Source organism: Homo sapiens, chromosome 5, assembly GCF_000001405.40.
Source record: "Homo sapiens chromosome 5, GRCh38.p14 Primary Assembly".
In the NCBI taxonomy this organism is placed as follows: Eukaryota; Metazoa; Chordata; class Mammalia; order Primates; family Hominidae; genus Homo; species Homo sapiens.
This window is the reverse complement of record NC_000005.10, coordinates 168,140,420-168,161,694: the sequence shown is the minus strand read 5'-3', so window position 1 is coordinate 168,161,694 and position 21,275 is coordinate 168,140,420. Positions and strand designations below refer to the sequence as shown.

At 43.5% G+C, this 21,275-nt stretch overlaps 1 protein-coding gene across 33 annotated transcripts in view, besides 1 other annotated feature; it reads right to left on the bottom strand.

Annotated features, from left to right (window-relative positions):
• TENM2 (teneurin transmembrane protein 2) overlaps positions 1-21,275 on the bottom strand; it is a 1,285,129-nt gene that overhangs the window by 102,463 nt on the left and 1,161,391 nt on the right. The window lies entirely within an intron of this gene.
• Positions 10,328-10,537: an enhancer, noted in NCBI's record as "active region_23585". NCBI's record gives its function as "activates an Ori minimal core promoter by ATAC-STARR-seq in GM12878 lymphoblastoid cells {active_cell/tissue: GM12878}" and the evidence as "EXISTENCE:reporter gene assay evidence [ECO:0000049][PMID:35858748]".

Sequence of the window (21,275 nt, the reverse complement as noted above, 5' to 3'; positions counted from 1 at the left end):
AGAAAAGTGGAGAAAGGAGGTACACTAAAGAGACATGGGAAAGGTCTCACTAGCAGAGCCTCCGTGACTCTTTATAACAGGTAGGAGAGAAGCAGAGAACTACTAGGATGTGGCCACACTCACAAAACCTACGTGCTGGCAAGAATTCCTAGACATGTTTTCATTTTTCTTTCTTTTCACAGCTTTGTTGGGGCATAATTTACACACCATAAAATTCACCTGTTTTAAGTGTACAATGCGATGACTTCTAGTAAATTTGCAGAGTTGTGCACTTGGGATATGTTTTCTTGCTTAATTTAAATATACCCCAGTGACCATTAATTTACTTTTCCCCAGAAAGTAATTTCCTTGAATATCTATCTCGAGTCCTATCTCTACCTCTGCCACCATCTCTGTTTCCATTTTTTTCTACATCTATTTTTAAACTACATAAAGTGCAGGCTGGATTGGGCCATGGCAGAGGATAAAAAGCTTTGTAATGATGGAGGTAATTGATTTGAAACCTTCCTGGCCCAAATCTTGTGGATCAAAAGCATGCATCTCCCCTGCTCTTCTCTCCGGTGTTCCAGAGGCCTTCACCTAGCATCTTCCTTCTTTTCTCTTGAGTACCCCTTATGAGAATGCTGATAAACCTAATATATGCATATGGCAGTGGTGGGAATTTGAGGTAGGGTCTCACTCTCTCACTCAGGCTGGAGTGCAGTGGCATGATCATAGCTCACTGACACCTTGAACTCCTGGGCTTGAGTGATCCTCCTGCTTCAGCCTCCTCAGTAGCTAGGACTGCAAGTGTGTGCCACCATGCCCAGCGATTTTTTCTTTTTAATTTTTAGTAGAGATTGGGTCTTGCTATGTTGCCCAGGTTAGTCTTGAACTCCTGGCCTCAAATGACCCTCCAGCCTCAGCCTCAGCCTCCCAAAGTGCTAGGATTACAGGCATGAAGCATTATGCTTGGCCAGTGGTGGGAATTTAAAGGCATCTTCCTAAGAAGCAAGGTCTCAAGGGTATACAATTAAGCTTTACTTCTTTAGGAAGAGGAGTTTCACTCTTCAGTGCTTGCTGCCTCTCATCCTTTCCAGAAGGTGGTATTGGATTAGGATCTGAGCAAGGAGTGCATGCAACAGAAGAGACCTATGTGGGCCAGTCCCTAGGGAAGCCAAGCTGTCTTGAGAGGGCAAATAAGGAGACTCTTACCAGGGAATCTGTTTTCTTTTGTTGCACAGCCTGGCACTAAGTCCAGCAGGCAAGTAAAGCACCAGTGTTTGCACACCTGGAAAGGCTTGTTTGGTCTACACACCTCTCCTCACAAAGCCCAGATTCACATTTCCATGCTTTTCCTGACTGTGGTCCTGCCTGGAAAACCCCTGTTCACTTCATACCGTGAGACGGTGTGTGGAGGGAAAGCCGTCCCCAGTTGCAGAGAAATGCCACAAACATTTCTGCAGGAACAAAATGAGCTCAGTAGGAAAAGACCAAGGGACATTTCACAGGTTCTCAAGGAAAAGAGAATTTCTCCAACCTCCAGCTACCTTCAGCTTTAACAATTTCTACTGGTAGAGTTTTGGGGAATGGATCACGGAAAATACACTAAATGACAGACCTACCAACATTTGCTCAGCATGGTATCTATTTGGTGGAGCTTTGTTATTTAGCTACTTTGAGGTCTCATGTCTGACTAAATTCATGTCCAATGTGTCAACAGAAGCCTCATTGTATAGGAAACCCACGTCCGCTACATCAAATTTAAATCTGCAAAAAACACTAGCGTGTCAGTCAGAGATACGCACTCAAAATACATATATTTCTAGATTGAATGAGGCTTTTTTTTAACCCCTTCTCTTCCTCTCTTGCTTCCTCCCCAACCTGCCCCTGCAGACCAACTGAAGTGAAATAAACAGACCACAGTAGCAGGTTTTCTCCACATCACATGAGGAAGATGAAAACAAGAAAAGTAGGAAGCTGGCAAATCTCTGAGAAGTTTCAGGGCAGCTGGTAATTAACGGACAGGACTTTGCTTTTAGCTTGAAGAGGAAGAGAACAGCCCTGGTAGGTGCATGGCGTTGCTAGGCAACCCCAAGCTAACCCCAGCACAAGTTCATTCTACTGGTGGCCTTCTGAGGAAGTGATCCTTTGTGTTTGTAAAGTGCAAAGCCAGCTTCTGCTTAAGGAAAAACAAAACCTAGGAAGTAATTAGTCTGGAGGGCAAAATGGGTATGAGGTAGAGGCTTTTCTCTGGAGAGGATGCTATAACCGAAGTTGGATTGGGCTAATGGGCTTATACTGGGGCACCCAAGAAGTCTCCTATAGGAAGTCTTCTGGATTTCAGGCTGGTACTGCCTGTCTCCAAGACCACCAATATAAAGCCCCTTAAAGCATACCCATTTGGTTCCTCTTTTATGGAGCTAGAGAGAGCTGGCTGCCTGGAGACTAAAGGTTCTATCATGACCCTATTCCAGTGGTTCTCAACTAAGGCAATTTTGTCTCCCTATTTCTCTCCAGAAAACATTTGGCATTGTCTGAAGACACTTTTTATTTTTTATTTTTATTTTTTGAGACGGAGTCTCACTGTGTTGCCCAGGCTGGAGTGCAGTGGCGCAATGTCGGCTCACTGCAGCCTCCGCCTCTCAGGTTCAAATGATTCCCCCGCCTCAGCTTCCTGAGTAGCTGGGACTACAGGTGCATGCCACCACATCTAGCTGATTTTTTTTGTGTGTATATATATATATGTATACACGTACATATATATATGTATATACGTATATACATATATATGTGTATATATACATATATACATGTATATATATACGTGTGTGTATACATATATATGTGTGTGTGTGTGTGTGTATATATATATATATATATATACACACACACACACACACACACATTTTTTTTTTAGTAGAGATGGAGTTTCACCATGTTGGCCAGGCTGGTCTTGAACTCCTGACCTCAAGTGATCCGCCTGCCTTGGCCTCCCAAAGTGCTGGGATTACAGCACTCCAGGCATGAGCCACCGTGCCCAGTCTGGAGACATTTTTGATTGTCACAATTTGAGGAGGGTGCTATTGGCATCTTGTGGGTAGAGGCCAGGGATGCTGCTCAACATCCTACAATGCACAGGACAGGCCCCACAATGAAGAACGATACAGCCCAAAATGTTAACTGTGCTAAGGTTGAGAAACCTAGCCCTAGACATAAACCCCCATGAGATCCAAGATTTGGTTGTTTGCTGTTGGATCCCAGAGCTTGGCCTGGTTTTAGGCACATAGAAGGTGCTTGAATGAATAAAAACAATCGGGGCGTACTATATCTTTTCTGTCTGCCTGCCTCATATCTATAAACTCTTCTGAGAATCATGAGAAGATAATAGAGACTTCCTCTCTGAGATCAAAAGTCCTCTTCCCAGGGAGAATTTTTAAGGACGCCAGTGATATTAATGGGCTAGTTCTGTCACATTCCAACCTATAGAGAGAGAGCTGATGGGAAATTTGGGATTTAAAAAAACCCACTTTGGGATGCCGAGGTGGGTGGATCACCTGAAGTCCGGAGTTCGAGACCAGCCTGGCCAAAATGGTGAAATCTCATGTCTACTGAAAATACAAAAGATAGCTGAGTGTGGTGGCAGGTGCCTGTAATCCCAGCTTCTCAGGAGGCTGAGGCTGAAGAATCATTTGAACCCGGAAGGCAGAGGCTGCAGTGAGTCAAGATCGTGCTACTGCACTCTAGTCTAGGCGACAGAGTGAGACTCGGTCTCAAAACAACAACAACAACAACACCAACAACAACAAACAACAACCCACACCCTTATATTCTGATGGCCCCTAAATCTTCAACTCAAGTCTTCTGACCTCTAGACCTGAACTCCAACTTGCGTCTCAACATAGCCATCTATTCCCCACCTGTACACTCATAAGCACCTCAAACTCAAAAGAATTCTGACTCTTTACCTTTCCTCCCCACAAACTCTGACCCCTTGAGCAGTGCATGGCACATCCAGGTATCTACCCCATTGCCCACCACTGAAACCTTGGAGGCATTCTTAATTGTTCCCCTCCTCTCCTACCTTCTCTTGTCTCTTCTATCTAATTCCAACCAAGTTCTGCCTAATTTTCCTCTTAACTGCAAGAACTCCTATCTGTCCTTCTTCCTAAATATCTTGGAATCTGTGCTCTACTTCCACCCCTACTGCCACCACATTAACCCCAGCCACCCTCATCTTTGGTCCAGATGCTTGTCGAAACCTCCTAACTGGTCTCCCTGCCTCCAGTCTTGTACCATCATCCATGTCTCACATTCTGGACACTGCTGGAAACACTTCAATAGCTTTCCATTGACCCATGGGTAAAGTCTGAAGTCCTTAATTGGGCTTGCTGACTTCATATGAACTGACTCTTACCACATCAGCCTATCTCAATATCACTTTAGGCTTTGGTTAGACTTAAGCCACTCGGCCTTTCCTTTTCACTTTTCTCACCTCCCTAACTTCAATACATCCTTCAAATCCCCACTCAGAAGTCACCTCCTCCTGGAAGCTTTTCCAAAGCTCCCAAGCTCATGCCAGCAGCACCAGTCATGGCATCTTTATCCTTTCCTTTATGTGGTACTACCCGCCCCGCTGTATCACAATTGGCTGGTACCTCCTTGATGCTCGCTAGGCCATGTAGCAGCTCTTCCTTAAGACATTTTACTGTCACCTGCTGGAAAAGTGTCATAATAAATGTGCCCGTTGTCATTACCTACACTTTGAATGGTGCCCCTACTGTGAACCGAACGGCTGCCCCAGGCGTTCCTGCTATGGTGTAAAACTGTCAGGGAGGGACCATGTCTAGTTTGTTTACTCTTGGATTGCCAGTATTCAATAAGTAGTTGGGGGAAATGATGAACGAATAACTCTGGCTGAATCCGATGCCTTTGGCAGAGTGGAAATGAGAGAGTTTCCAAGGTTCTACACATAAAATTCCAACCACTAGAAAAAAAAAAGTCTGTCCACACAGTTACCAGCTAGGCAGGCTTTTTGCCTTAACAAAAATTAGGCATGAACAAAGTAATGTCTACAGCACGGTAAAAAGGGAAAAATAAATGCACTTGAAGAAAGCTATAATTACCATAAAAGGCTTTTCTAAAAAAGCATCAAGAAATGTTCTGCCATGTGCAGCAATTTAAAGGTAGAAATAAGTGGCTAATAATGCATGAGGGGTACGAAGAGAGAAATAGGATTTTAATATTCAACATCAAGCATGCCTAAGAAAAGCATAAAGGGCAATACCCTATCCAGATGGAAATGCAAGTAAAAACATAAAACAGGCTGCATGGAAATGCAGACAGATGACAGTGAAAGCCAGAGAAGCCAGATGTCCCTGCTTGCTTCAAGAGACCATCAGGAGAGAACTTACATCCTAAGTTAAACTGAGGTGAAAAAAAAAAAGTGTTTTTTTTTTTTTTTTTTTAACTATGGGGAAAACCTTAACCTGGTTTGGAGTCAGAGTTCTGGGAATGGAATCTGGATGTCTCTCTTACTGTCTGTGTGAGCTTGGGCTGGTAGATCCACCTCTCTGAGCCTCAGCCTGTTTGTAAAATGGTATATTTTACTTGTTAATCTTATTTATTTTCTCTTCCAATAGCATACAGCTTCCAGAAAGGCAGAAAGTTTTGCCTCTTTTGTTCATTGAGATATTCTCAGGGTCTAGAAGAACGGTTGGCACGTAACAGACATTCAAGAAATATGTGCTGATCAAATAATTTAGGGATGGTCACAAGACCGTACTTACAATTTTTTTTTTTTTTTTTTTTTTTTTTTTTTTTACAGATGCCAGAGGTATTAAATGGAATGATAAAGCTAAATATTTCAACAGAGCTTGGCACATTGTAAGTGCTCAGTAGATAGTGGCACTAATTGTTGTCAGTGTCTATATAGTTGTTATGACAGCTATCATAGTTAGTGGTAAGCTTTCCCTTTAGCACATAGGCTGAAGTGTAGGTCATTTCTCTTTGCCTCACTCTGAGATCAGGGAAAAAAACAAGAACCCATCCTTTTTCAAGTTAAAAAATGAAGGTTCATCAAGTGTCCTCCGTGTGTGATTGTGTCACAGCCTAAGAAATTCTCATTCTCCCAATGACCACCAGCCAAAACTCCAGCAATACCACATTGGACGGGCTGAGTGAGAAGAAAACCCACTGGAGCTAAGGGCAATTATGAGGTGCAGGAGACACGAAGGTAGACTACATGGGGGCCCTTTCTCTTGGGAAGAATTGTGCTTTTGAATATTAACTTAATTATGGACCCCCCCCCCCTTTCACCAACTGTTTTAAATATCACTGTTTTTTTTTTGTTTGTTTTTTGTTTTTGTTTTCCCTGGAGCTGTGCATTGTTGGAATTAAAGAGCACACATACACTGGACATTATTTAATAATAGAGTCTGCCATTACATTCCAGAGCTCTTTGTAGTTGAAAATAGCTGAGGTGTTGGAGATCGGGGATCACCAGGGGTTCAGGTAGCCATTTATACTGAACAGCAGTGGCAAATGCTCAGAAAATTAATCTGATGCTTCGAGGTGCTCTGGGGAAAATCTCCAACTAGTTTTGGAAGACCGGCTGCCAAAGAATCACCCTGGTCTCTGGTCTCTGGAAAACGGCAGGGATTGTCCCTCTTGCTTGCCCGTGTGTGCGGGAGGGAGCTGTGCGGGGACTCTGTTTCTAGGCACAAATGGCGTGGACACGCAGCCATGAACCTGCACGTCCACAGCTGACTCTGCTTTGTTAGAAAAGACGTGGCAAATTGAGAGAGGCAGATGTTCCTCTTTGTTTCAGTGGTGTCTGTATGTCTTTAAGGGTTTGTGTAGATGCAAGTATGGGGGATGCTGGGTTGGGGTGTTAGGAGGCCAGTGATCCTTTCCATGGTCTATTGGCTGGCTTTTGCTCCTAAGGCAGAAATCACTCCCCACAACCCCAACAGCAATAGAAACAGCAGAGCTTCCATGAGGTCATATAAATTTGCCTCCAGCTGTCTAGGCTGCATGTTTTCTGGATGCACCTGGATTCTCACTGATCAGCACCATGTCTGTCTGCATGGGACAAGGAAGGCAGTAGGCTCAGCCTTGGCTGCAGAAAAATGATGAACTTGTAAAAACAGTAAAAACAATCCTTTCACATTTGAATAAAGAGGAGAAAGGGGCCAGGCGCGGTAGCTCACACCTGTAATCCTAGCACTTTGGGAGGTTGAGGCGGGTGGATCACCTGGGGTCAGGAGTTCGAGACCAACCTGGCCAACGTGGTGAAACCCCGTTGTTTAGTCTCTACTAAATATACAAAAAGTAGCAGAGCATGGTGGCAGGCACCTATAATCCCAGCTACTTGAGAGGCTGAGGCAGGAGAATTGCTTGAAGCTGGGTGGGTGGAGGTTGCAGCAGTGAGCCAAGATCGCACCACTTCACTCCAGCCTGGGCAAAAGAACGAGACTTTGTCTCAAAAAAAAGGAGAAAGGAAGATGTATCTTACTTTTTGGTGTTTTGATGTTTCAAGCTCTTACTGTTTTTTTTTTTTTTTTTTTAAAGTAGGTGATCATGTGAGGAAATGGAGAATTTAGGCAACAGTAACCAAAATAGCTCTTCTTGGGAGGGAAATCCCACGTCAGTTACTCAGTGAATTCTGACTGAATTGTTATCACCCGGTTGCACTGGAGTCCAGCCTGGCCTGTGCTTTCCTGGGGGTGCCTGCTTTATCTCCCTGGAACATTACCTTTGAGAGTTATGGGGGTGAATAGCACCGTGTTGCTAAAACGCACCCCAACTCATGCCATGCCCCTGCTGAACATCCTCCGGGAGTTTCTCCCATTGCTTTAGATTGGAGCAGTGCTTCTCAAAGTGTGGTCCTGGGACCAGCAGCAGCATCTCCTGGGAACTTGTTAGACATACACATTCTTGAGCTACTGAATCAGAACCTCTGGGGATGGGGCCCAGCCGTCTGCATTTATAACAAGCCCCCGGGATCCAGACGCCTGCTCAATGTGAAAGCCTCTGCTTTCGGATTAAGTCCCAAACCCCTAAAAGGGCCTCAAAGGCCCTGCATTATCTGGCCCTGCCCATTTCTCTCTTCTCATGTCACATTTGTCTCTGTTCTCTGTAGCCTGGATTCTTCTTGTGGGCTTTTCCAGATGTGTCTCTCTGAACTACGCTCCCTGCACCCACTTTGGCTAAAGCCATTCACCTTGTGCTCAGCTGGCCCTTGTTTAGGAATGGCTTTCCTGGCTTCCAGCTCAGGGTTCCTGCTCCATTGCATGCTTTTATAGCACCACCTTCCCCTTCTCTGTAGCACTCCTCATAATTCTAATGAACCCTTTGTTTAAAGCAACGGGTCTTAACTGGGCCGCACTTTCAAATCACCTGGGAGCCTTGAAAAATTCCCATGTTAAACTGCATCCCAATTAAATCACAATCTCTGAGGAAGCGACCCAGACATCAGTTTCTTTCCTTTTTTTTTAAGCTACCCAGGTGATTCCTATGTGCAATGGATGATGAGAGCAAGCGGTTCAATGTCCATCTTCCTGGGAGCCTCCAAACCCCTCAAGTGTAAAGGCTTTGGCTCAGTTGTTCATGGCTGTTTTCCTAATTCCCACCCTAGAGCATTAAAGATATCTGTTGAATGAATACATTAAAAACAAACAAACTGTGCTTTGTTTCATTGCTGCTTCACTGTGTTCTTGATTCAACAGCCAGGTAAAAGGAAAAGCTTCCCACAGGCCACACCCCAAGCCTCTGGAAGGATGACACTTCTCTAAGCAAATGAAGCAGCTGGTTGCAGCCCAGCGTTCAAAACCAAGCTGATGACAGGGGCTGTGTATGAATGCGGATGTGGGTTTGTGCCTTTCAACTTGTAAGAAGCAGATACCTCTGGACTGAAAGAGGCAGACTAGGGTACCCAGCGAGTAGAAGAGAAGGCATGTTGGTAGCTTAGGAGGGTGACAAGTGTTACACAAAGGTAGGGATGACAATAATAAGAGAGTCCAGTGGTTTAATTTGGTTTTTGGAGGTGAATCAAGTTGTTGTACCTTGTGCAGCTTATTCCCACAGCTGTCCAGCAAATAATGAATGTGGTACCTACCAGTATGGAAATAGGGACAAAGCACGACTTTGATTTCTTATTTGTTATTTTTAACCATCCAATTTCTACACCCACTGAGCATCCTTATAGCCACAGGAGGGTCATAAAAATACAAATAACACCGAGGAGGCCTGTGGGCACGGACTTGTTACTTCTGCAGGGTTGACGGCTCTCTTTTAACTAGTGTAAAATCAGGTCAACCATAAATTGCCATTTTGTTGTTGTTGTTGTTGCTCCTAGTGTAACTTCAGGAAATGTAAGGAAATCACTAAATGTTTCTAATAGATCTCAAAAGAGCTAGGCAAAGAATCTGCCCCAGGATGAAATTCTGGATTTTAGAAAGCTTTTTATAGAATAGCCACAAAAATAGCAAACCCCTCACAGGGACATTTCTCTGTGCCTGGCACTTTTAGATCCCCTACATGCATTAGCTCATTTAATTGTCGCAACAACCCTACGGTGTAGGTACAACGATTATTCCTGTTTTATAGGTGAGGAAATGGAGGCATGGAAAAGTTAAGTAATTTGGCCAAAGTAGCAGGGTGGGTTCATGGTGGAGCCAGGATTTGACACCAGCCAATGGCTCTATAGTTCCTGTTCTCAACTGGGGTGACCAACCCTTCCAATTTGCCCTGGATGATCCAAGTTTTTGCACTGAAAATCTTGTGCCCCAAGAGGCAGCCTGGAATCATTGGTCATCATTGAAAACAGGGAGTGAGGACTAGGCTCTTTTCATTGGCTGTCCCAGAGGCAGAGGTGGGGACAGAGATGAAGGCCCCCAAGGGCAAGAAAGAGGGTGCAGACTTTTATACCAAGTCACTTGTTTTGGTATGTTAGGGCTTCCAACAGATTCTGCTGCTGCCCGGGGCCACTGCATCAGGTCACCTCAGTCACCATGTGGCAGTACTTGGAATAGTGAAGGTAGTGGCTCTGAATCTGGGCAGCCTGGGTTCAAACCTTGGCTTCACCCTTTGGCTGCATGATCTTGGGTAAAAATCATAAGCTCTTCAATTCCTTAGTTTCTCCATTTGCAAAACCAGAGCAATAGAACCCCAGAGGGTCGCTGACATTTAAATGAGAGAATCCATGATGCATGGCACATAATAAATATTCTACAACAGATACCTGTTATTATTGTTGTTGTTTTTATTAAAAGTGTCCTCCAATGATGGCAGAAAGGTCTGTGCGTGGTTTAGGAAAGCCTTTGATTTGCACTTGAATTGGTTATGAGGAGGGACTGAATGCTATTATTTAAAATAGGATCAGTGTAGTCAATACAGCAAAGCCCCAGAAAGGTGCCCTCCAAAGACGTAAATGAAAATGAGAAAAATGAGGTAATTTCCTGAGAGTTACGTGAGTAAGATCTGCACATAATGCATGCGACAAGTTGTCAATAGAACTCCCCTTAAAACGCAAGAGTTGTGTGAGGTGACATTATCAAGGATCGCAGGGCATAGAAATCTCAACCAGGCTCAGAAAAGCATGCCCACAGAAAGGGGTAGTCTGCCTGGGATGTGGAGAGGGAGGTGGTGGAGCAAGAGAGAGCCAGGGTCAGTTCACGGGTGAGAGTGTCCGGCTTGACAGAGGGGAGGCAAGCAACAGCACCTGCCATTTGTCCATGCTCAGCAATTCACATCCTTGTTACTTCACTGAGCCACTTCAAGGATGGTATGAAATACATATTATTATCATCATTTGTGGCTGAAAAAGCTGAAGCTCAGAGAAGTTAATTAACTTTCCCAGGGTCATAATCACTGCAAGTGGTAAAGGGAGGGTGTGAATCCAGGCCTGTGCAACTCTCAGCCCATGCACTTTGCGCCCCCCTAGCCAGGTAGGACTGTACAGGGAGAAGGCAGACTCAGAATATCATATTACTTGCTTTGATTTCTTGTTCCCCAAGAAATCTTCTGCTTTTAACTTCATTTCCCATATAGATTTCCCTTTAGGGAGAGAATACACTGAGCAGGAGATGTAGAATTTCCTCACTGTGAATTACTGAATGGCCATTTCAGGTTTGGATGGGAATTTGGGTAGTGTGACGGAGTCAGTCTAGAGCTTGATCCACTCTGTTAACAGAAACAAAATGGGATTTCTAAAGCTGAGAATAGGATCCATGAGGATCCTACTTGGGGAAGCCCCCGCATGGCGTCCTGCCTGAGTGGTGGGGTGGTCTCCCTGTCAAGAGTGTTGGCTTCTGTCTCCTGCCCTGTCCCTAATCCTTGAGTTCAGTGTGTGCGAATCAGGGGACAAATGGACCTCCAAGGGAGAAATACCAATCCCACATCAAACATTTACTGAATGATTAGAAAATGCTGATTTCTGCTGTAGACTCATGAGTTTATTCTTTCATTCATTCAATAATTATTTATCGAGCACCTATTATGCACCGGGTAGTTTCTAGACAAGGGGCATACAGTAGTCAATGAAAGAGACAAAGTCTTGTTCTTAAAGATCTCACATTCTACAGTGAGGAGACCTACAATAAACAATAAAAATTAATATGGTATGTCAGATGGTAATCACTGCTTTAGGGAAATGTAGGGGGAGGGGACCACAAGGGGGTTGTGTGTGATGGAGGTGACTGTCTTATATAGGATGGTCAGGGAAGCCCCTGATGATAAGTTGTTTGAGCAAAAAACCTAAAGGAGGGGAGGAAACAAATCATACCAATATTTGGGAGATAGTAGCACAGGCAGAGGAAACTGCAGGTACAAAGCCCCTAGGCATGAGAGTGCTTGGGGTGTTGGAAGGACAGAGAGGAGGCCCGTGTGGCTGTAGCAGAGTGAGTGAGGGGTAGGACCTCATAGTCCACTGTACGGATATTGCTTTTATTCTGAGTGAAAAGAAGTCATTGGAAGCTTTTGAGCAGAGGAGTGGCCTGATCTGACATGAGTTTTTAAAGGCTCCCTTTGTGCTGGGTGAGGAACAGAGAGAGGATGGGGCCAGGACAGAATCTAGAAGGCTGGCCAGCAGGGACCCATCAGGACCATCTGGGTAAGCCAGGGTGGAGGCTTGGGCAGGGCACAAATTTGTCCTGCTCTGTGACTCTATGTGGCACCGCTAATGCTAGATGTGTTTCTGTTTTCCTAACATGCCTCGGAAAGGGAAGGCTTTAGAGACACAAAAGCAGACAATTAGACATACAGTCTATAAACAGCACTCCCCACCAACTACCCCTGTTGATGCAGCAAACCAGACTCCTCGGTTGGAACTAGCAGGCAGATGAGGTTGCTGAAGCTGGATTTTGTGAGGATTCTGCCCTCCTCTCCAAGTTGCTTTTTCATACTAAAAATAACATGTGGAGATGAAGGGAAAGGGTGACAGGGGAGCATCGTGCCGCATCAGGACAGACATGGCTGAGAGTGGAGACGCGGAGAGAACCATTGAGTCACAGCAGCTCTATCTGCAAGGTCAGGGCAGACAACCTCATATGAACAGCTCCAGCAAATGAATGCCTCGCCTTTCTTAACACAGCGACTCCAGACCTTAAGGCTGCATTCATCCGGCCAGCTTCATCTAATTCTTGGCAATAGGGTCTCTTTGAACCACCCAAGCATGCTCCCAGGTTATTACTCCTGGTCTTTTAGTTCCTTTGCGTTCTCTTTAACCCTATAGGCCAGCTTGACCCACCCGAATGGGACACTCAGACATGCTTAAAAAGCTTGTGCTATCTATCAATCTATCTATCTATCTATCTATCTATCTATCTATCTATCTATCTATCATATATATTTATATTTATTTATTAATCTGTCAAACATTCCTTACCAAAAATCTGTCTAAATCCTGTGAAGATGCGGTCACAAAACAGTAAGTGTCAAACGACCTCATAGAGGAGCCCGTATTTTATATTGTTTTATGGCACTTTTTACCTTGTACAGAAGCAATAAAACATTCCAGTTTCTCCCCTGCTTCTTCACTCTTTTTTCTTTGCTCTGACTGGCATGGTATTTCCCCTGCCCACCTTTATCATGAATCTAAAGCCATCTATCACTTACCCATCCCATCCACGTGGCCCAGGGAACCCTGAATTATCGTGAACATATCCTGCTCTCTGAAACTTTCTTTTAAACAGTTTTTAGCTAATCAAGGACTTGGTGGGGAGGCCACTGATCATTACAGGGTCTTTATCTACAAATTTTGCAGTAGTTCTGATCAGGAGGTACATTCATGTGTGGCACAGTATGAGAAATAAGAGACTTCTGTTTCTTGAAAGCTTGTACAATGGTATTCAGAATTCCAACAATCTGGCCTATGCTTTTGTTAGGTGCCACTCTTCAATTTTGCATAATGAGTGTGCCCTTAGGAAGGCAAGAGCTTCTCCTTGGAAATCCTCTCATTTACAGAGAAACAAAAATCCCTCCTTTCAAATACATCTTACACATGCAAAACAGCAGTCTGTTTCTGCTAAGTCACATTCTAGCTAAATGGATAATTGAACAGTGAATGGGAGCTGGTACTCAGCTGCTAACCTGCAGTTTCCACACGTACACACTCCCAAATTGCAGCAGAGCAATTCCCAGGAGGCAGAAAGCATGACTGATTTTTCCAATAAAGCTACAAAAATCGATAATCCTCGTGGATGGAATGCTCGCATCTCTAACCATCTCAGAGTTTCATCTTCCTCTGCTATTCCTTCCAAACAAGCCTCTGTCTTTACTTGGTACATGTTCCCAATTCCATACCACCAGCATTTAGCCTGAGTTCTATTCCGGTTCTGCTGAACGTACCTTTTAGAGGCCCTGCAATGTGTCTTGATTTAGGGATGCTCGGGTTTTATGTGGCTCTGGGAAATGTTGCTTAGCTTTTCCGGAGCTCCAATAAGTTCTGATGTATGGCTGTGCATGCCTGCTTGATTAATGGCACATGCAAGGACTTGGAGCTTTCAGAGGTCACCCCATGTGTACTGAATAATACAGCGCAGAACCAAAAATATCCTTGGATGAGAATCCTGGCTGCACACAAAAGCAATGGCATTGCCTGCTTTAGTTGACATTGCCGGAGACTCAGTTCTTCTAAGGAAATTCACTTCCCCCAAACAGATAATTTCAAGATAAAATTGGAATCATTTTGGTTTCTTGGCTGTTTCTATGTATAGTGTCATAGGTATAGGATAAGTAGAAGGCTGGGAAAGCTAGAAAGCTGCAATGTTTATTTCTGACAGGCCTTCCAAGTTCAGGATAGCCAGGCCGTGGTGTGAAGCAAATTAAACGTCCGTGCAAAATATGCTACTGTGTGCAACGCTGTGGTTGAGAATTTAAATGCACCAAAGTCAAGAGATTCGAAATGATGGTTCCCACAGCAACTATAACTCAGTTCTCTGGTGAATATAAAATTAACTTTATTGCAAAACATGCTGTTCAATTTACGCCTTAATCTAGTCATGGCAGAGTTACAGTTGCTGCGAGAACGCTAACTCTGAATTGTTTTGAATAATTAATTTAATGAAAAGTTGGTGGAAATGTGAACTCTGATAGAAAGTCAACTTAAATTTAGGGAAGTTGGCCAACTACGCCTATGCGGAGTAGCAGTGAGTCATTTTTGGAATCGGAGATTATTTAGTGTACTCTTTGGCCAGGGGGCACTGGTAAAGTGAAAAGGGGAATTGTCCTCCATCACCAAGGACACACTCCTGCAGAGGATGACTTTCCCGACAGGTGAAGGGGGGGTCCCCTGATGCCCATATTCTCTGATTTCATTGCTGGACTCCCCAGAACCCCATTGCAACTACCTGGGGGCAAAGTGCAATGATTAAGCCTGGTTTCTGTCAAGTAAACCTGGATTTAGCACTCACCGGCCCCTCTCATTGACAGATAAGCCTTTCACACATTGCTTAACCTCTCTGAGTCAGTTTTGTCACCTGTGAAATGATGATGCTAACAGTATTCACCTCACAAAACTGACATGAGGATTAGAAGAGAGGAGCCATGCTGAGAACTTAGCAATGGGACCGGCCGTTTCTGTCATTAGTACTCAATAATGTTAGCTGGTATTTTCTGAAAAGGGAATTCAGTAAATCAGTAAATTAAAAACATGCACCAAATCAATTATTTGGCCTGCCTGGTTATTTCAGTCCAAACTGATTTGGTATAAGATGAGCCAGCAGGCAGGGGCGATAAAGACAGAAGCATGAGTTGGCAGAGTCTTCTAAGAAACAGTGTCTTCCCTGAGGATGCTTGAGGCCACTTCTGTTGAGGCTCTAGAAATGGATCAATCTATCATCTCTTCTACCAGGTTAATATTTCTCAACTTTTTTTTTTCATTATCTCCCATCCTAGAAACCTTTTTAGACCTTTTCCCCTCTAATTCCTCTCCCTTAATGCCAAAGATATGCTACATAGCTGTTTATGTCATATGTGCACGTTTTATATAAAAAAGAGTTGGAAGTTGGAAGTTCTGGCCAGGGCAATTAGGCAGGAGAAGGAAATAAAGGGTATTCAATTAGGAAAAGAGGAAGTCAAATTGTCCCTGTTTGCAGACGACATGATTGTATACCTAGAAAACCCCATTGTCTCAGCCCAAAATCTCCTTAAGCTGATAAGCAACTTCAGCAAAGTCTCAGGATACAAAATCAATGTACAAAAATCACAAGCATTCTTATACACCAACAACAGACAAACAGAGAGCCAAATCATGAGTGAACTCCCATTCACAATTGCTTCAAAGAGAATAAAATACCTAGGAATCCAACTTACAAGGGATGTGAAGGACCTCTTCAAGGAGAACTACAAACCACTGCTCAAGGAAATAAAAGAGGATACAAACAAATGGAAGAACCTTCCATGCTCATGGGTAGGAAGAATCAATATCGTGAAAATGGCCATACTGCCCAAGGTAATTTACAGATTCAATGCCATCCCCATCAAGCTACCAGTGACTTTCTTCACAGAATTGGAAAAAACTACTTTAAAGTTCATATGGAACCAAAAAAGAGCTCGCATCACCAAGTCAATCCTAAGCAAAAGAACAAAGCTGGAGGCATCACACTACCTGACTTCAAACTATACTACAAGGCTACAGTAACCAAAACAGCATGGTACTGGTACCAAAACAGAGATATAGATCAATGGAACAGAACAGAGCCCTCAGAAATAACGCCACATATCTACAACTATCTGATCTTTGACAAACCTGAGAAAAACAAGCAATGGGGAAAGGATTCCCTATTTAATAAATGGTGCTGGGAAAACTGGCTAGCCATATGTAGAAAGCTGAAACTGGATCCCTTCCTTACACCTTATACAAAAATCAATTCAAGATGGATTAAAGACTTAAACGTTAGATCTAAAACCATAAAAACCCTAGAAGAAAACCTAGGCATTACCATTCAGGACATAGGCATGGGCAAGGACTTCATGTCTAAAACACCAAAAGCAATGGCAACAAAAGCCAAAATTGACAAATGGGATCTAATTAAACTAAAGAGCTTCTGCACAGCAAAAGAAACTACCATCAGAGTGAACAGGCAACCTACAAAATGGGAGAAAATTTTCGCAACCTACTCATCTGACAAAGGGCTAATATCCAGAATCTACAGTGAACTCAAACAAATTTACAAGAAAGAAACAAACAACCCCATCAAAAAGTGGGCAAAGGACATGAACAGACACTTCTCAAAAGAAGACATTTATGCAGCCAAAAAACACATGAAAAAATGCTCGTCATCACTGGCCATCAGAGAAATGCAAATCAAAACCACAATGAGATACCATCTCACACCAGTTAGAATGGCAATCATTAAAAAGTCAGGAAACAACAGGTGCTGGAGAGGATGTGGAGAAATAGGAACACTTTTACACTGTTGGTGGGAGTGTAAACTAGTTCAACCATGTGGAAGTCAGTGTGGCGATTCCTCAGGGATCTAGAACTAGAAATACCATTTGACCCAGCCATCCCATTACTGGGTATATACCCAAAGGACTATAAATCATGCTGCTATAAAGACACATGCACATGTATGTTTATTGCGGCATTATTCACAATAGCAAAGACTTGGAACCAACTCAAATGTCCAACAATGATAGACTGGATTAAGAAAATGTGGCACATATACACCATGGAATACTATGCAGCCATAAAAAATGATGAGTTCATGTCCTTTGTAGGGACATGGATGAAATTGGAAATCATCATTCTCAGTAAACTATTGCAAGAACAAAAAACCAAACACCACATATTCTCACTTACAGGTGGGAATTGAACAATGAGATCACATGCACACAGGAAGGGGAATATCACACTTTGGGGACTGTTGTGGGGTGGGGGTAGGGGGGAGGGATAGCATCGGGAGAGATACCTAATGCTAGATGACAAGTTAGTGGGTGCAGCGCACCAGCATGCCACATGTATACATATGTAACTAACCTGCACAATGTGCACATGTACCCTAAAACTTAAAGTATAATAATAAAAAAAAAAAGACTTAAAAGAAGTATAGTAGGCTGGGCGCAGTGGCTCGCGCCTGTAATCCCAGGACTTTGGGAGGCCGAGGCAGGCGGATTACCTGAGGTTGGAAGTTCAATACCAGCCAGACCAACATGGCGAAACTCTGTCCCTACTAAAAATACAAAAAAAAAAAAAATTAGCTGGGCATGGTGGTGCATGCCTGTAATCCCAGCTACTCGGGAGGCTGAGGCAGGAGAATCTCTTGAACCCGGGAAACGGAGGTTGCAGTGAGCCGAGATCGCGCCACTGCTCTCCAGCCTGGGAAATAAGAGAGAAACTCTGTCTCAAAAAAAAAAAAAAAAAAAAAAAGAAGTGTAGTAGACAAATTTCTAGTTAATATTAGCTCAGACACGTACAGTTTATACTGGTATCATTGAAAGAAACTCTCATGCCCTTGCCCCACCTTCTCCTTTCAGCCTTTCTACACTTCCGGTATGTGAAACTTGCAAACTCCTTTGAGGAAACCAGACAATTATTGTGCTTTAGGCTGTGATTCCTGAGCTTAAACCCCACCCTCCTTCTGCTATAGGGCAAATATATGACACAGGATTTATTTTCATCTTACCACTGGAATACCCTTTCAACAAAGTTCTGCGCCCAGGCACTGGGGCCAGTATCTAACGTTTTAGGTTATTTTAATGCAATCTAATGTTTTATTGCCACAAAGATTGCAGGGTTTTTTCCCCCCACTTCTGCCTGCTTATGCCTTTTTTCTTCCACTTTCTATTATTAGCAGCAGTATATTTCTTAGGAAAGAAAGTACAAATATAAAATGTAACAAACAGAATAGATATAGCATACTAAGTAATTTTTATAAAGTATTGTTTGAGAGTATAATATTCTCTATGAACCCCCCAAAATAAATGTGGTTTCTGAAAAAAAAAAAAAGAGTAAGACTTTCATCTACCCCTAGAACAATTTTTCACTGTGTTGGGGGTGATATTACCCCCACTGCAAATTATGCACTAGGTCACAGGCCAAAAAATCCCTTGTTCAAGCCTGAATGCTCCAAAACTCAAGAGAAACCCTTTATTTACTTGGTGAGCCCCTTGGCTACTCCTTCTCTGAATCCAGCTCTTGACTCCCTAAAAATGGGCTATTCTAGCACCTAGGAAGCACAGTATTTTTGAAGCTAACTTACAGTGGATTCATGTAATTCCCTCCCCAACTATTTTTAGATGCAGTGTGGTTCTCCATTTTCTCTATCTTAAATGACTTGGGCAGTGAAAGGTGGGTGGAGAGGGCTCACACACAGGGGAGTCTCAAGCCAGCCAGCACTTACTGAGCATCTACTATATTCCAGGCTTCAAGGCAGGGGATCATTTAGGACTTTTCTGAATAGTATGTTTTGCTGCTAGGTGCCACGTTTGGCCCATCCAAAGGAGTTGCCTCTGTCAGAGACCACATTTCTTGGGAAGTATTGTCAGGATTTTAAGAGAAAGGGGTAAAGCCACAGCCTGGGAGGAAAAACAAAGTAAAAGGCAATGCCCCCAGCCATGTGTGCCTCTAGGTTCTGAAGCTATTCTCAGCTTGGCTTCAACTACCTTCTTTATCTATCAGCCTCATGCTGCTTTCAGGGCCTCTGCCCTATCACCTCAAAGCCTTGGCTTGCAGCTTTTTACCTCACTGTCATCAGTATCAGCAACATTTTAATGTCTCCTAAAAGACATAACTTTATAACGCTGAAATTGTTTGTTTTAATGGTTGCCTTACTGTTCAGAAAATATTTTAAAGTTGTATTACTTAGCATAACCCCATCTCACTGGTGATGGAAGCCGAAATTTAAATGTCAAGGTAAAGCCATTCCAGGAGCACTGAGATCAGTTAGACATGACTTAAAGTGACCTGTTGGTCCAGCCGGCTACACTTAGCTAAACTAGACTTTCACCTCTGCATCTTCTGAAGCCTGAGCAGGGCCGAAAGTAGAAACTCTAGTGGCCAAACTCCCTAATGATCAGCACCTCTGTCTACTTGGGCCTCCCTGAGTTTCACCTTTTAATTTAGTTTAGTCAGGAGTTAATTTCACCTGATGGCTAGTTCAGCCTGGTGGGCTTGAATGGACATTCTTTCTCTGGGATGTCCGTAAACCATGCAACCTGAACTCTTTCGGTTTTACTGGATTTGGCAGCACTGGGGATATGTGTCTTCTCTGACTTTTTAGAATTTCTGGAATGTATGCACCTGAGGCTACTAAGACAGAGATGGCTCCAGTATAGCGCTCCAATCGCTCCAAAATAGAAATGTTTGTGTATGTGTGTGAAAAACACAAATTATGACTGATCCGTCTGACGCTTTGAGAGGCATGATGAATGAAGATACAGAGAAGCCTCAGCTGGCCTTTGAAAGCCTGTACGGTTTTCATTCTGCATAGCCAAGTGGAAAGCACAAGTTGGTTTCTCCCAAGGCAACAAAAATAAAAGTTGATTTCTCCCTATACACTTAGGTATATAAAGAAATGGCTTTTTAAATCTATATACCTTTTAAATATTCAATATTGATTTTGATCTACTGGGAAGAGCTGAAACATCATTCTTGATTCTGGATGCTTAATCAATTCCTTGTTCCAATTAGATCAAGAGACACTTCCCAAACTTTTCTGCTGGATCTTTAAGGTTTCATCCCTGGGAAAGGCAGTTTCCTCTGGCTCTAAAGAAGCATGTTCTGATTTGTGGGATCAGATGGGAAGCTGGTAGATATGTCAGCCTTTGTAGTTCCAATGCCAGTAAGTCTAGTTATCTCTCCAACACATGCATTTAAAATGGCCAGGTGTTTCCCTGGTTTTGCATCTGCCTCTGAAGGATGTTTATGGCATGCCTGCATGCAGAGAATGTGAATGATTATAGTAGAATATCATGCTGGGAACTGTTCCCAGAAATCAGTAGCCTGATCTGAGACAATTTAGAAGGAAGAGCAAGGCAATCTAGAAAATGCAGAATACTTGTGTTGTGCTGTCCTGTCCTGGGAAAAAGATCAACAGGTTTACACTGCTGAACTGGAATCTTCTCTCTGGGTCATGCCTGCAAAGCCCAAGGAATTCTCTGAGTAGAGCAGGACATAGAGCACATATGTCCATCAAGCAGAGGGGAAGGCATAGCCCAGCGGGACTATGTAGCAAAGCTCTTGAACCCAGTCATACAGGGGAAAATGATGACTCTGGAGGAGCCCCAGTCACTGCTGCTCAGTCCAACTTTCTCGGGTGTTCTATCCAAGGCAACTCAGAGAAGATTCTTGTCCCTGGCCTCCACTGCACGGCTCTGGCCCTTATCTCTATTTTACATGGCCACTCCTATGAACCTGCAGTAGCCTGAGAGAGGGCCGTATTCTAGCTCTGTCAGGGAAAGACTTCACAGTTGTAATTTTATCAGCATAAGGAAGAGAAAGGGACACAGGGTTCCCAAGCAGCACAAATTATTAGGCACCGTTAGCAAAATACAGGTATCCAGAATCCTGAAGGTACCATTTGAAGTTTTTAGGTCTTAAACACTTGCAAAAGTAGCATTTCAGAGCATGGCATTAGACCAATGACCAATGCAGAGACACGTTGTAATGGATGCAGATGTACCGGGCTGGGTATGCTAAGAAGTCAGGTGGGCGCACACACACGCATGCACACAGACGTGTATACACTCATACACACAACAGGGATTAGTCACTGGCTTGGTTTGCTGGTATTTGTTGTTGAGATTTGGGGCTTAGCTGCCATTTGGAGCAGATGGAAGGAAGATAAGCTGAA